The sequence below is a fragment of the Homo sapiens genome, chromosome 18, assembly GCF_000001405.40.
Source record: "Homo sapiens chromosome 18, GRCh38.p14 Primary Assembly".
Lineage (NCBI taxonomy): Eukaryota > Metazoa > Chordata > Mammalia > Primates > Hominidae > Homo > Homo sapiens.
The window spans coordinates 33,577,129-33,593,014 of NC_000018.10; the positions used below are offsets into that span (position 1 = coordinate 33,577,129).

The following is a 15,886-nucleotide window of genomic DNA, read 5'->3' on the forward strand; positions in this document are numbered from 1 at the left end:
ATTAAAAATGATTTAGCAAGATATCTTGGATACATTGTCATGTTTTTGAGTTTCATTTCCTCATTTGTACAGTAGAGGGGAAATATATGTTTAACTGAGCTGTTTTGGGGATCAAACGATATAATGTGTATGAAAAAACACAAAGTACTATTTATATACCATTAATATCCTATTCAGGAAATAACTTCAGAAAAATAATCCAGTAGAAGTGACCTTTTTGTTTTCAGATACTCAAGACAAATACACATAATTACTGTGTGGGTCACAGCGTCATTTTTTTCTTTGCTTAAATAACTCTACTGACCCAAACAATTCACTAGAGATGTATGAAGTTGGAAAGATTACCATAAACTTTTAAGTCTTAACATATTTTTTGGTAGTTCGCTAATAAGGATAACAATCCAACACTTCATGTATCCCAGACCTGAAAATTATAATTTAAAAAATACACAAGCGTTAGCTTTTCAGTTTTTTCCATGTGCATCATGTTTTACTCTACAGAATGTTGACTACACGCTGTTTAAATATAATTAGCCCTACGGTATGGCATCGCGTGGATCCACGGTGACGGCTCTTTGGTCCTGCATTGTTTGAGATGCTGTAGGTGGTTCAACATTGTGTTAAGTTGCACGTACATTATTAGTTCTGTATCCGAAGACACTGGCTCTGTACCCTTTCAACAAGGCTCTGGGAGTTCCCCCAGCCAAGCAGAGACAGGGTTAAGGCAGTCCAACAGAGGAGAGTAGTGCGGTGTGTGTGTGAGTGAGTGTGCACGCGTGAGCGCACAGGACAGAGGCGTCGAGGTGCGGGGCGGACTCCTACACAAGTTCCAAAGGCCACCGTGTCCGCGGCTTTCGGCCTGAGCGGGACAGCGGGAAGCGGGTGGAACGGCCTGCACGGAGTGGGCAGCGCCCCAGGAATTTGGGGGCTGAGTTGGAGGGAGAGGGGTCTCGCGAGGGTTTCAGGGCGTGGCTGGAGTAGGGGGCGCGCGGCGAGTGTGCACGGGTGTGCGCGCGCGAGAGGGCGAGTGTGAGCGCGGCGAGTGTGAGCGCGGTGAGTGTGCGGCCGCGTCGCCATTCCCCGTGACGTCAGAGTGTATTGTTGTGAGCGGGGCCGAGCGGAGCATCCCCGGAGCTGTCACCGCAGCGGCCGCGGCGGTGGCGCAGCGCGAGCCCCGCACGAGCGAGCCCGGCCGGCGCCGCCCCCGCCCCTGGCCCGGGCCCCGCTGCTGCCGCCGCCCCCGCCCCCGGCCCGCCCGCCGCGCGCCGCCGCCGCCGCCGTCGCGCGCCCCCACCCACTCCACCCCACCCCCTCGCTCCATCCCTCCCACCCGCCGCCGCCGCCGCCGCCGCCGCCGCCGCCGCCGCCGCCACCGCCCGCGCGCCTCCCCCCGCGGAGCGAGTGCGGGTCACCGGGTCACTGGGTCATTGTCTCCGCGCCCGAACCCCGAGCACCCCGTGGAATCCCCCACGTCATCATCAGAACCATCAATGAGATGCAAACATGAAAGACAAGAGGAAGAAGAAGGACCGCACCTGGGCCGAGGCTGCCCGCCTGGTACGTACCGCCCCCCACACGCCGCCCGCGCCTCCCGCCGGCCCCGCCGCTCGCCCCGCGCCGGTCCGCGGCGGCGGAGACGGCCACTTCCAGCCCGAGCCGCCGCCCGCTCGCCGGGCTCCTGCTCTTTGTTATTCTGCGGGAGTGGGCTCGCCCGGGGGCCCCTGTGTGTGTGCGTGCGCGCGCGGAGGGGCGCAGCGATTATCTCCGGGAGCCCCGCGTCCGGGACCGCCCGGGACACTTCTCCCCGTACTTCGCTCTCGGGGCTCTGCTGTGCCTTCTCCACGGGTGAATTTCCGAGCGCTCGGCGCAGCTCGACTTCCCTCTCTGCCGCTCCGGAGACCTTTGTGTGGCAATTACCACTCCCTCCCGGCCCCTCCACCCCCCGGAATTTCATCAATAACTCTGTGCACAGTCTGTGTGTATGTTCGGCGTTTGTGAGTTCAAACATTTTACACGTGCATGCATGGTGTGTGTCCGACACGGACTTGTGGGGCGTGTGCATGTGGGCTAGGTGGTTGCGTGTCTGTGTGCCATGTCGTGTGCATTATGTGTGCACACTGATACGTGCATGTTTTGTGTGGCTCCAGTTCGTTTGTGTTTGTAGGTATTGTGCTCTGCTCGATGTTTGTGTGTACATTCTGTGCACGTGTGTGCAATTTGTGAGTGTGTTTCGGGTGTGTGTGTGTTTGGTGAAGTTGGGTCAGTGTCATTTGTAGTGGGAGGTTATTAAGAGTGTACAGCTAGGTGTATTTTACTGCTGGCTTCCTGGGCGGTGTTACTTGGCTGCTTTTCCTTTTCTTTAACCTTTCGGAGCTTACGTTTTAATCATCGAAAGAATGTCTCTATAGAAATGCCGGTTGGCAGAGGGGCGTCGGCGTCTTTGGTTTGATGCATGTATATGTGTGGGTTTTTCTTTTCTTTCTTTCTTTTTTCTTCCTATCTTCTTTTAAAGGACAGCTGTAAAAGGATTTTTCAAAAGGATATTTCTGTACAGTGTGTCTCGGGAATGCCAGGCATTACATTTGAAGCTAAGCCTTTCAGGGTTTTGGCTGCATAAATTAAACATTTATTCGCCAGCTTACTATCTGTTATAAATTGGCCAAAAGAAAGCAGACTGCATGCAGCGGGGGTTTTGGGAGGGGGGAGCAGGACGTGTTATTGGGTTGACTTTGTAAAGATTGTTTTACTGTAACTGTAGTCATTTTGAAAAGCATTTGAGTAACTACATTATGCTCAAGGAGAACATTTGTCAAAAGTAATTATCTGAGTTTGGTTGAAGGGCCTTGCTCTGGTATGTATCTGGATTCTAGCAAAGGGTTTTAGATAATTGGCCCTATTGCCCAGCGAAGAAGTGACAAAGTCCTTTTTAATTGCAATCTAGTTATTGGTAGCTGGAGTGCCCAGGTCCCTTTACTTAATCTCTTAATTTTGTAGTGTTGTATGTTATTTCTCCACTTATCTGTGATTGCGTTAATCGCTAAATCTCTCACTCTGTGGATGAATGGGCAGGTGATAGTGATTCTTTAATGAACTGCATCTGGAAGAGGAAACTTAAGTTGTGGGGAATATGTGAGAAGTAAGCAGTAAGTGTTAAGTAGATGCCAGATTGATGTTGTCAATGAGTTTTTGCTGGAGCATAGTACATTACTTATTGTTTGCTCGGCCATTAATTCAGAATTGTGTGGGGATGTGCAAGGCTTCTGAAAATGCATTATTCAGGTTCCGTGGAGTGGCAATCAAGTACTATTAGAGAGCTTTAGTGTATATTTTAAGCAAGTGAACAATGAGTTGATTTATAAATATTTAAAAATAATAAGTCATGAATTAGCCATATCTGCCTGCAGAGAATTATTTAATAAATAACATTACTCTGATGGAATTTAAAGCTAGCCATTTGTATTCAATCAGTATATGTTACTATTCTTGAAGGTACTGTGTTTTATTTGATCTAATAATGATATATCTGTATTGATATAATTTGAAAGAGATTTCTAAGTCACAGGTTTTTGTTAAAAGTTGGATTTTCCTCTCGAAAAGTTCGTTGATGGGAAAAGACACACTAGGAGTCATCAACACAAAAGAACGATAGACCAGATGTCTCTATTTTAACCAGACATATTGAACTAGTAGTTATGGTAATTTTTCAATTTGGTTTAAGTTATTTTTCCCCTGGTAGTTGTATAAATGTGTATGTATTCAAAATGTGCCAGTTAAAATCAAATACTGAATAAAATTGCAAGGAATCGTACTGGAAATATAATTTTCAGAAATTTATGATTTGTATAAGTGACTTATCTAATTCTTATTTTGTGAAGAAAGGAGAAATTGATCCATTTGGTTAACGGTGATAACTGGTCACCATTAACCAAATTAATATTTGGTTAATTTTCATATTTTCTTTATGATTACGTGAATACATATGGACTTGAATTCTCTTCTAAACTTGCATGATAAAATATTTTTACTTTTATAATTGATAGTATTTCTTAACTCTCAATTAAAAAAAGTTTTTAAGCATTTCTGTGATATAGATACTATCATTTCATATTACACAATGCTTCTGATGATTTTGCTGTTGTTGTTAGGGACTTTAGCCTTTTCTTCATCAAATATTAAATGAGGTGCCTGATTTTAAAAGTAAAGATTCAGGATGGATAGAAAATATATAACTCAATATGTGGTTTTTGCAATAAATGAACTAAAGAGAGAGTACTCAAATTAACGTTAAGAATGATCTTCCAATTCATGCAGAATATGTTATATATATCTTTCTTGCTGGAGTGAGTGTGTGTGTGTGTGTGTGTGTGTGTGTGATTTTCTTGAAAGATAGGACATCAGGGGAGAGGAAATGCAAAATAGATATTTTGAACCATGACCAAAAGCTTATGTATAAATGTGGCTTTGCCTTCACTTAAAGAAAAATATATGTGGAAGAAGAATCTTTCTAGTGTAACTAAGACTTTCCAGTTCACAACAGAATTTCTATTTTCTTTCTTTGTGAGAAAAAGTATATGGTCTCCAAATTTGTAAACTCTGGAGTGGCAACTTTAGGGATTTTGTTTTAGATACAGATGCAGCTATCAAGCTGTATCATTTTCCTCAAAGAAGTGTGTAATGCTTGTATGTGTTAGGCTTGCTTAGTGTATGAAAGAAGGAATGGTGGTACAATTTGCCTGTGTTTTCAGGAATGCAGTGATTATTAACAGGCTGCCATTTTAAAACAGTAATACCACATCTTTTTTTCCCCTTCTTTTTTCTTCTGCCCTGCATCAGTTGCAGAAATTTCAGGCTTTAGCCTCCTCCCCTCCCCCACAGCCTTCTGCAGTTGTAGTTGTGTTACTTTGCGCATTGCCATTTAATATGGAGTCTGCTCCCAAACCAGATGCATTTTCATCTGTTTTATCTGCTCTTCTAAGGTTGTAGAGTCTCAGAGGATCCCACAATCACATGGAAGTATCTTCTGTCTTAATATTTGTAGACCACAATAAGAATAAAAATCAAAACCATAACTCATGTCGAGCTGGGGCTTTGACTTTAATCCTTCTGACTTTTATCTCAAGTCTTCATTCTGTTACTATAAATACAGTTTAAACCATTGTGAAACGATCTTCATGCTTCTTTGTAAAAAATGGGGATTTGACAGGACTTTGTTTTACAGCACTAAGGGGTTTCTTTGTTACTGGCTTAACACAGAACATACTGTTATTTATATATTTATTCTAGGTTAATTCTTTTTTTGACATGCAAAAATATTGCTTTGAGAAGTGCTTTTTGATATCTTCATCACTTTGTTCTATAGGGAATGCTGCTTTTAAGATAATAGTTTAATGTATTAATTTGTTCCCTGAGTTTCCTTTTATTTTATTCCTTACAATCTTTGTTTAGTCTCAGTGACACCTGAAAATAAATCTTAACTATTTCAATAGCTTTGTGCTTGGTAACATGGCTGATTTATTTACTTGTAGTTTAGATACATGCACACAGATAATGAACATCAGTTTGTTGGTTGGTTTTTTTCTGTGTGTGTGTGTGTGTGTGTGTGTGTGTGTGTGTTTTCTTGGTAGTTCAAGGTGACCTTTGGGTAAAAATTTTTTAATGACAAATTCACCTCATTGTTGGAAGAAAACAGGCACATAACCTTTTACGACACAGCAGGGTTACTGAAGGTTTTAAGTAAATTAAAATTTGGTAAATCATATTGTGTTAAAAATTAATCTACACTGAACAAAAGATTCACACAGATTTCCTTAAATTAATAGAGGAAATATTATGCATTACATTCTAAATAAACTGTTAGGATTTATTTATGCAATACATTACATTCTAAATAAACTGTTAGGATTTCTATAAAATAAAGCTGAATGGTATTGTAGCTGTTAAAATTTTTAAAAAGCAATTCATAATTGTGTAATTTACTGGTTGCCTTGCCTTTTGTCTTTGTATTTGGGAAATAAATATAATTTTTTAGGAGTGATAAGCATGGTGATAGGGGAGGGCGTGTGTACTGCCTTTGACATTTTCTCACTGTGTTAATGGTACTTTGATTTCAGGTTATAATCAGGTATTCTTAAGAGTTGAAGAATTTTGACGTGTGATTTGGGTCACTCCAAAGGTACACAAGAGCATAACTGACAATGTAGTTGGATCATGAGCCTGGCTAATATAGTTTTGCAAATGTAGTTTTATTTTTAATCACTAAAATTTCAGTTGGTTTGATTCAGCTCTTTTCTGTGGTCTGCACATAGCATCATTTCTTTATATCTATATCTCATCACCTTTTCTTTCAAACATGGAACCTAAATTTCTGTTTTACAGTTTGAAAGATAAAAAAGAGTTTAATGATCTCTATGCCTATTTAGAAAGAAAATGAGTTTCAAGCTGGATAAAAATGTACTTGAAAGAATGAGTAATGTGAACTTAGACCTGGTGTTTAGGTTGTTAATTTTTTATTTCCTGCCGACATTAAGTTTTTCTATTTTTTTGACAAATTCATGAGTAACAGATGATTTCTTAGATGCCAGAAATGAACTATTTTCTTGGTGTACTGTGGCTTTTAGACTTGTAGAGTTGTACCTGGAAGGGAATTTCACCACAGAAAAGTTAACTGATAGAGGAATTGAATTCAACATTTAATAATGTAATAATTTTTAAACTTCAATGAAATGCACTGGAAAAGTGAAATATGGCCCCTAAACACTTTGTAGGCTCCTATGTATATGATTCAGATGCTGTTGAGGATACAAAGATACATCCTTAAGCAGTATAAAGTTTGGTAGAGGAACAAGAAAAAGTGGAGGATGACTGAGCTGACACCATCTGTAGGTGACACATGAGTGATCAAGCAGGTGCTCATTTACAGATTTACAGAAGGGAAAAGCTATGTGGTATGTGGTGATTGTGGAATGCTCAATGGATTAGGTGAAACTTGGTTTGGCCTTGAAATATGAGTAAGTTTAAGCAGGTGAAGAGAGAGCCTTCTAAGAAGAGAGAACGACATGGACAGAGGTGAGGTGCAGGCAAGAGGATAGGTTCAGGGGGTGATGAGTGGAGGAATCTAGAAATACCAGAAGACTTGGGGGGGCATAGGCACTGGGACAGAATTGAAAATGTAATTGCGATCAGATTGGGGAGGGATTTAAAGCCATTTTCATATTCAGTGAGTTTTACTATGGGGCTGTTGTAGTTAGGTGGTAATAGAAAGGGAATTAAAGACTCACCCCCTATTCTCCTTGCACACACAAAGAAGCACAAAACAAAATGAATATCACTTATGTCATAAGTCTTACGATATGTATTTGTACAGTGATGGGGGGTGCACCAGTGAGTGGTCTGAAGCTGTTTCTGAATGTTTTCATTACTTGATACTAAAGAATCTGAAAACAAATTAAATGATACAATTTAATTCTGTCTCATGTTCTTTACCAAATGAGGCAAAGTGAAAAAAAAATCAGTAAATTATATACATTACATTTGTATAAGACTTACATAGAGCACTCTGTTCCCTAAAATACCCTCTTGAGATTAGTCAGTAGCTAGGACTATCCCAGTAACTGTCTCTGAGAGTGGTTTAATGATACACCCAATATCATCATCCTGTCTATAAAAGCAAGGCTGGGACAATATATATGTATGTGTGTCTGTGCATGCACACACATACACATACACATTTTATATTTATATGTTGTGTATATATGTGTGTGTGTGTATGTGTGTCTGTATGTGTGTGTGTATACTTTTTTTTTTCTATGTAACTTGTCATTTTTTAAAAAAACAATATGGGTGTTTAAAGTGATGTGAATTTAATTGATCTGTTACATGGAAGCGTAGGGAGGGCCCAAGCCTATGTCATACTTATTCCCTGCCTTTTGGATTGCCTACATATGTATTCTCCTCCCTCAGTCCCTTCCTCTCACTCTGTCTTCCTCCTTCCTTCCCTCTTTTCCTTCTGACATTCTGCTTGAAATTATTATCTTCTTTTACATTTTAAACTTTTCCTTTAAAGCTCATCAGTGGCAGATCCTGGCTCCTTCCTGATAGGGCCAGGAGGAGGGGCATCTGTATACAACCACTTTCAGCTATTTGCCAGCACTGAGTGCCTTGATTGTTCTGCTTTTGTCCCTGCACAGTTGGTAGCTGCCAAAATCTAGCCCTGACGGAAACTTTCCCTGAAGAGCCCTTGGGGAACAAATAGAAACATTATATGATTAACCACGTTGTTTTCATTATTAAACAAATCTACAAAAAGGAGTAGCAATTAACAGCTTTATCAGTCTGAATTTAGACACCTACCTCTCCTCTTCCCTCAGTATTCCCACTTGAAGTAGTAACAATTAACTGTTGCTGGTTTTAATGTCAGCAACTGACAACACTAAATTGGGAATAGGCAGGTCTCCTGGTTGATTGACATATAGCCCTCTGACACATTCTTACGTAGTTTTAAGGCAAATTTATGCCCTGGGGTTAGCGCCAAAGGGCTTGTCAGAACATTGCCTTTAATATCTGAAATATATAACTTAAATGACATCCAAGGCCTTAGCTTTGGAGGAACTTTTAGAATCTGAGGAATTCTCCAAGGCGGTGCAATTTAGACTCAGTGGACAGGCTTAGGAATTGTAAGATTTTCCTAAATATATGCATGTCTAATTTATGATACAATTATTATTGCTTTATTTTGCATAGATGTAGCATAAATTAGTCCAGAGAAAACTAGATTATGATTTTTTAAAACAATTGCACAATTGGTATTTTTGGCAAGTACACGTATTCCATTATTCTTTATGCATCTGTTGATTTAAAAAAATCAAAGTCAATCATAATTATTTATGACTTATAGAAGGCAATAGGATGGACCATTCTTTATTCAGAAGGTGAATGGCATTTCTAAGATACTATTAACCATAATGTATTAGAACCTATTTTAATAAATTTCAGTAAATAGAAACTGAAATTGGATCTTTGGGTTTGTTTTCCAGCTCGGTCATAGAGAGTCATGATACAGTGAGGCTGTTGTTTATTCTCCATTTTTTTAATGTCAAAATAAATTACTACATATGTAATCTTTACATACATCAAATCCTTGTTGACATAGCCCCAGAACTAAGTCACTGTCTGGAACATCAGGACTCTTTGTGACCCTCCACCCCCACCACCACCCCAAATGTGCACACAACAAATAAACCCTTATTTTAACAAGTATATATAAGAAAATTGCCTTCCTTTTTTTTTAAAGTATTATGTCTTCAAAACCTTGCAGTTAGAAATTGTTGTAATATTTTTCTTCTTCATTTCTTGTCTCTCTCATTTGTAAATCTTAGAGATTTAATTAATTTTTAAAAATCAGATTTCTTGATAGCTTCATTTCTCTTTCCATCACTTTTAACTCTTTCCTGCTCACTTGAGTGTCCCCTTCTCTCAGTTGCCCCTTTAGTGTTGGTGTATTTCAGGATGTTTCCTCCCCCTCCTCTTTATTCTCGTCGCCCCACACCCTTGGCCAGCTTGCCTAGCCCAATGTCAAGTCTTCTCTGATGAGGATGTCAGCCCTGATCTTTCCCCTGAATTTTAGAATTTTGTTAATAATTCCTTTTGTCTGTCTTCATGTATTGTGGATATTTCAAATGAAATTTATCCAGTTCATTTAAACATTTATTGGATACTTTCAACAATTGTGTCATGCATTGGGCAAAGAAGAATGTGACAGTGTTCCTGTCTATTAGGGGATTATCTATGTGTCCCTAAGCACATGGTGTCCAGAGAAAGTGGTAGAGTCTGTCTTCCGAGTATAGCTCACATTTAACTCCTCCTCTATTCATTCACTACATCTTACTTAGTTCTGACCTTCCAAATAGTTGTGTCTCTAACCTCTTTTCCAAATCTTACTGAAGCTGTAGTTATTTTTCAAGAACAGATACAATTTTACTGAATCATTCCTGTTTAAAACGTTTGTGATTACCTTTAACCAAAAGTACCCCAGGCCGTAAGAAGCCCTTTTCAAAACTGACAACACTGTTTTAAAGTGATATATCATTGAATTTTCTAATCATATGCAGAATTTAGCATGTTTTATTTGTTATACACCACACAACCCCTGCAATCTTGTAGCAATTTCTACAGCCTTAGATTTATGTTATTTTCTTTTAAAACACATCAAACTAGTTATTTTTGACATTAGTTAATTGATTACATTTATCAGCTTATTTAATCAACTTCTCTGTTCAACTTTCTTATATCACGCTCCCTCTTTCTAAATTGCTTTTCACAGCTTTATAATTTTTATGTGAAAGTCTTTGGATAGCAAATATTCTTAGTTTTTGTATGGTGAAATGTTTTTGTTTTGCCTTCACCTTTAAAAATATGTTTTAATTAAACTTTTTAACTTTGAGATACAGACTCACATGAAGTTGTAAAAGTTAGAAAATAAAAGGATGAATAGATGGTCACATATCTTCTCCCTGTCATTCTTACTCTCTCCTGAAATCCTTACTATCCTCAAAAAATTGAATCTGAATACAGTCAAGATTGGGTACAAAAATAATTAAAAGCCACCCTTTTGAAGCAGTATCCGCTGAATTTGTAGATTACAATTAAAAAAAAAAGGAGAAACTTAGTAGGAAAAAACAAAAAGATCTCATATTACCCTCACCTTTGAATGATAATTTAGCTAGTTATAAAAGTCGGCTGATTATTTTTTATCCTTAGTACTTTGGAAATGTTCATTTGTCATGTCCATGAGTTAAATTGTTATTCTTAAAGAGGTATAATATACATTTTATATCTGATAGTTGCTACATGTTCTCTTTATTTTTGAAGTTGTACAGTTTTAATAGTCTGTCTTAATGTTTATGGGTGGATTTATCTTTATTCTACTTAGTGTGTATGTGTGTGTATATATATATATTTGCTTTAAAATGTGGATCATGCTGTGGTTTATAACCTATTGATTGCATTTTATCACTGTTAGTCTATGAATTATTTGAAGTATTTTAAGATTTCCCTTAACATCTAGCAGATCGTTATCTAGCTTATGGGTTGGGGATGATACAAGAACAATGGGGAAAGGACTCCCTTAATCCTGTACATGATGCAGTGCTGAATGTATTGGTTTTATTATTCAGAATTATGGACTGCAAGCAACAGAACACAACTCCTCCTAATTTAAGTAGAAAAGGAGCAGGTTTTTTTTTTTTTTGGAGGTCATAAAGTATTTCATATAATCAAAAAGGATCTGGAGAATGAGGCCTGATAAATAGGGATCAATAGAGGCTGGGCAGTGAAAACACATAGACAAGGTCATGCTTCAAGAATAGCCTAGTTGGAATATTGCTGTGGGCACTAATATCATCAGTAATAGTCACCACCATGACTCCATGCTTATTGCATGAGACACTGCCATTGTTCCCAGTGTGTCATGAATAGTCTCGTAATTTGCTGTCTTTGCACCCCATGTTGAAGATTAAAATACACATTCAGGAGAATCAAATTGGCAGACTCTAGGTCCCATGTCTGTACCTTAGGTGCCAGAGAGCGATGATAAAGTATATATGGCCCCTTCAACTCCTGTAGTGAAATATCTCCATTTGCATTTTCATAGCAACAATGAAGTCCACAACATTAAAGCTGAATGCCTTATCTCTTTCCCACTCCCATCAAGTCTTCTCCTCCTTTCTTTCATTTCCCAGTAAAGCCACCACCATTTCCACATTTGTTCAAGCCACAAACCCTCTTGTCAGTGTTATACATTCTTATATTTTTTTCTTATACCCAGTAAATCACTGACTTCTGCCACCTTCATCTTTTTTCTTCTACTCTTCAGATCCTTGTTTTTAAATACTATAGTTATACATCCATTTCCACTGTCATTTACCTTAATTCAGGCTGTTATATGGGTTATGGAGACAGTGTAGATTAATGATGGTCCTAAGAGTCAGGCAGATTTGAGTTTGAGTCCAAAGTCTGCCACTTACTATGTGTTTGACCTTGAGAAAGTTACATAACATCTCTCAATTTTATTTCTATTGTTTAATAAAGGAATAATAATATCTACCGTAAAGAGTGGTTGCAATATTTAAATAAGATAATGTGTGTAGCGTAGTTTTGTGTCTGACGTTATAAGATGCCAGTTAATGTTAGTATTTGGTAGCTTCCATCTTATGAAGTTCCTGCAACAACTTTGTAATTTGTTTCACTGACTCTAGACTTGCCTTCACTGAGAATGATTCTTTTTGCATTTATAATCACTTATTTAAAAGTGAAACTGGTTCATGGTACCCGCTTTGAGTCTAAGTACTGTAGGAAATAGACGGCATTACCTTGAAGGGGTGATTGAAGAAAGGGCACAGTAAAAGAAAAGAACAGGATATAGTGAGAGAAAAAAGGCTTGCTCTGACTTTCATATCAAGATAACTATTGTCTAGTACATTGATTACAACACAGATTGGAAATGTTTGCAAAGTAAATAATCTCCTTTATATGTGCTAGTAAACTATTCTTAAACTTAGTGTCATAGCCTCCTTTTAAGAGTATAGGAATTTTATATGATGGAATAACCTTAGTATATCAATCATAATAAAATTATTACTAAAGGACAGTAATACCTTTATCACTAATTAATAAAAATAGCAATAAGAACTAATAATGATTGGGTACTTATGTGCTTCATGCTGAACTAAACTTGTTATATGCATTATATTGCTTAATCCTGTGAGTAAGCTTAGGAGACATTTTATAATATTATTCACATTTGTCAAATGAAGAAATTGAGATTTAGAGTGTGTATTAGTTGAGTTTCTCCCGGTTACAAGTGAAACAAATTTAACTCAAATTAGTTTAAGGAAAAAGGCTCACATAACTGAGAAATCCAGGAATGAACTTCAGTTCTAGGTGAGGTAGGGACTTAGAGAATGTCGTCAAGGTATTTGCTTTCTATGTTTTTTTTTTTTTTTTTTTGCTTTGTTTTTTTCTTGGCTTCATGGTGTAGGCAGGATTCTATTTAGGTATTGGACAAGGTAAGATGGCCACTGGCACAACCTACGTGTGTTGTCCAACCTTAGCCACGACAGCCTAAAGACAATCTCAGTCTCTTTTCCCCTCCCCAGGCCATATCTCTCTCTTATTTTTTAAGTGCTAATGCCAAAGAAGATTTTACTTTATCCTTGCTTGGCTGATATGCCCATTCCTGCACCAACAGCAATTGCCAAGATCAGGTATCACGATTGATTGCTACACAAGGATCATGTAGAGAGGAGGAAAATTACAAAAAAGCACCAATAAAAGGCAGATGGAAAGTATGCTGGAAAAACAAATTATAAATGACATTGCCTTTGCTATATAGACGGTGAATTAACTTGCTTAGCTAGTAAGTTGTGGAGGACTGTTTCCAGTCTGGGTCTGCCTGACTTTAGACCTTAAGTGTTCTAATGTAGGTACTCTTCATTCATTACTTCTGTTATTATTTTTATAATATTTATTTTACACTAAATATATGTTAAAGCTCAGGCATCCATTACAAAGAACCTAAATATCTCTTTGGTCTGTTTCTACTGAAACCTACTTTCCTGATTTAGAAGCTAGAAGTTACCATGGATGATTTCTGTTCTATTTTCCCCCACAGACTAGTTTCTTTATGGTTATATAGGAATAGTCTATATATAATATTTATAAGATAGTTTGACACAATTTAGGATCCAAGTACTATTTAGATCTTAACACACTAAAATATACATTTCTTCGTGAAGCTTCCAGGTACCTTCTGGATGAAAGTAAATATTTTTATTCACTGTCTAAAATGCCCAAGAAGAACCTTTATTGATCATAATCCTTAGATGATATTAACTTACCGAAGAGAACAAATGTTTCTTCTCCATGGAATGAATCTTCACTCATTTTCTGAATATTGAGATTAGGTCAGCATCAGATAATGATTCCTTATTTCATGTAGGAATTTATGGACATCACAGTCTTATTGCTGCCATTTGCTGTTTATTCATTTGACAACATTTCTCCTTTCCTAGAGCCCAAATGAATCAAATATAGTGTTTCAGAAATTTTTTTTCTCTCCTTCTCCCTCTTTTTAACACATTTTACTTAGCTTTGTGGAAATTTATCTCTACTTTTTCAGCTTGGAAAGTGGATGGTTCTGAGAATTGATGTTTTTCATGCTCTGTCCTGGGCAGAGTTGCTACTATTTAAAGAGAATACACATTTAGTCTGGATCCACCAGGATCTTTAGTGAGCGAATGAGAAAAAGAAACATGCTATTGAATATAAACAAAAATATTATCTCCTATTCTCATCCTTTCTCCAATTTTTATTTCTTTGTCATTTTTTGCTAATGCTCTGTTTACAAACCAAGTTCCAGTAACTAAATAGGAATAGATGGACTGTCAGCAGGAAAAAGAAAAATGAATGCATAAATCTAGATATTGCATTTCCTTTCGATCTTCTAATGACACTACTTTTTTTTTTTTTTTCTTTTTTAAACGAAGTCTTTCTCTGTCGCCCAGGCTGGAGTGCAGTGGCGCGATCTCGGCTCACTGCAAGCTCTGCCTCCTGGGTTCACACCCTTCTGTTGCCTCAGCCTCCCAAGTAGCTGGGACTACAGGTGACCACCACCACGCCCAGCTACTTTTTTGTATTTTTAGTAGAGATGGGGTTTCACCATGTTAGCCAGGATGGTCTCGATCTCCTGACCTCGTGATCCGCCTGCCTCAGCCTCCCAAAGTGCTGGGATTACAGGCAACACTACTTATTTTTTTTTTTGGAATTCACTATTTTCTGAGCTCAACTTCATAGTAGGAAATGAACTCATGAAAGTTAAACACATTTTTCCTTTAGTTAAAAGCTTTAGTGGAGAATGAAATCCTTAATCAGGGGAGTCTACCCTCTCCTATCTTTGTATGAAATTTTATCTTTTATCTTCTTGGTGCTAGGTGCTAGTCGTAGGCAGTTCAGATGGGGAAAGCAAATCTAAGCACATGAAAGGTATCATCTAGAGAAATGGGTGATGGGGAAACAAATAATAGGACTTTAATAAAACAGTGTTTGAAGTTTTTTCATGTGTGTTTGTATGTACATGTTTATATTAAATAGAATCTACAAAGAAAAAAGTCTTTAAGTTATTTAAATAAAAATCTTTCTCTGTCTTTAATACATGAGCAAGTAGATATTACCTCATAAGCATTAGGTTGATGGACAGTTTTTTCATTTTTCCTCCTTAGGGACATGTGGTGGCATCATACTTCTTTGCTGCCTTGAATTAGGCATAACCGTTTTTGTTTTGTTACCTCTCACTTGCAGCTTTTGAGGGTCACTATTTTATTCACTTTATTTCTTTTCTGGTTGTATTGATCGCAGAAGCCGGTGACAAGATGGAATTTCAGTTAAGTTGGTTCTTGTCTGGAAATGTAGATGTTAGTGAGAAATAAGCATTTGTTTCAATCTGCTGAGATTTTGGGGTTGATTTTTACTGTTGCATATCTCTGCCTATCCTGACAGAGTCAATCTTTATAAGAAAAACAGGTGTTTTTATTCCAGGCCCACCTTTACTTTTGTTTATGAGGCACTAAAATATATAATTACATGCTTCAGAGATCTGTTAGGAAAACAAGGTTAAGTTCTTTTGTGTTTTTTTCCTTCTCCATTACATTAAATTGATTTGTAAAATCTTCCTTTCCAGTATTTATATTTTGTTATTTTAAACTTGTAAAACCAGTAAAAAATTTTTCATTACAAGGGAAATCTTTTTGTATTCCGTCTTAAGATAATCTTGTTTATATTTTTGCCTTACAAAATAACTGCCTTTTCTCCCACTTGTCTACTGAGGAGGAAAGTT

General features: G+C 37.9%; 1 protein-coding gene across 2 annotated transcripts in view, besides 3 other annotated features; it reads left to right on the forward strand.

Annotated features, from left to right (window-relative positions):
* Nucleotides 431-1,419: an enhancer, noted in NCBI's record as "H3K27ac-H3K4me1 hESC enhancer chr18:31157523-31158511 (GRCh37/hg19 assembly coordinates)". NCBI's record gives its function as "activates a minimal SCP1, AML or CMV promoter by ChIP-STARR-seq in primed H9 embryonic stem cells {active_cell/tissue: H9 hESC(primed)}" and the evidence as "EXISTENCE:reporter gene assay evidence [ECO:0000049][PMID:30033119]".
* Nucleotides 1,091-15,886, forward strand: part of ASXL3 (ASXL transcriptional regulator 3) — a 172,977-nt gene continuing 158,181 nt past the window's right edge. For both annotated transcript variants that reach the window (XM_005258356.2, NM_030632.3), the window contains exon 1: nt 1,091-1,557. In XM_005258356.2, coding sequence (XP_005258413.1) covers nt 1,504-1,557 — 54 coding nt within the window. In that variant the 5' untranslated portion in view covers nt 1,091-1,503. The remainder of the gene's footprint in view (nt 1,558-15,886) is intronic.
* Nucleotides 1,420-2,407: an enhancer, noted in NCBI's record as "H3K27ac-H3K4me1 hESC enhancer chr18:31158512-31159499 (GRCh37/hg19 assembly coordinates)". NCBI's record gives its function as "activates a minimal SCP1, AML or CMV promoter by ChIP-STARR-seq in naive and primed H9 embryonic stem cells {active_cell/tissue: H9 hESC(naive and primed)}" and the evidence as "EXISTENCE:reporter gene assay evidence [ECO:0000049][PMID:30033119]".
* Nucleotides 7,875-8,586: an enhancer, noted in NCBI's record as "OCT4-NANOG hESC enhancer chr18:31164967-31165678 (GRCh37/hg19 assembly coordinates)". NCBI's record gives its function as "activates a minimal SCP1, AML or CMV promoter by ChIP-STARR-seq in naive H9 embryonic stem cells {active_cell/tissue: H9 hESC(naive)}" and the evidence as "EXISTENCE:reporter gene assay evidence [ECO:0000049][PMID:30033119]".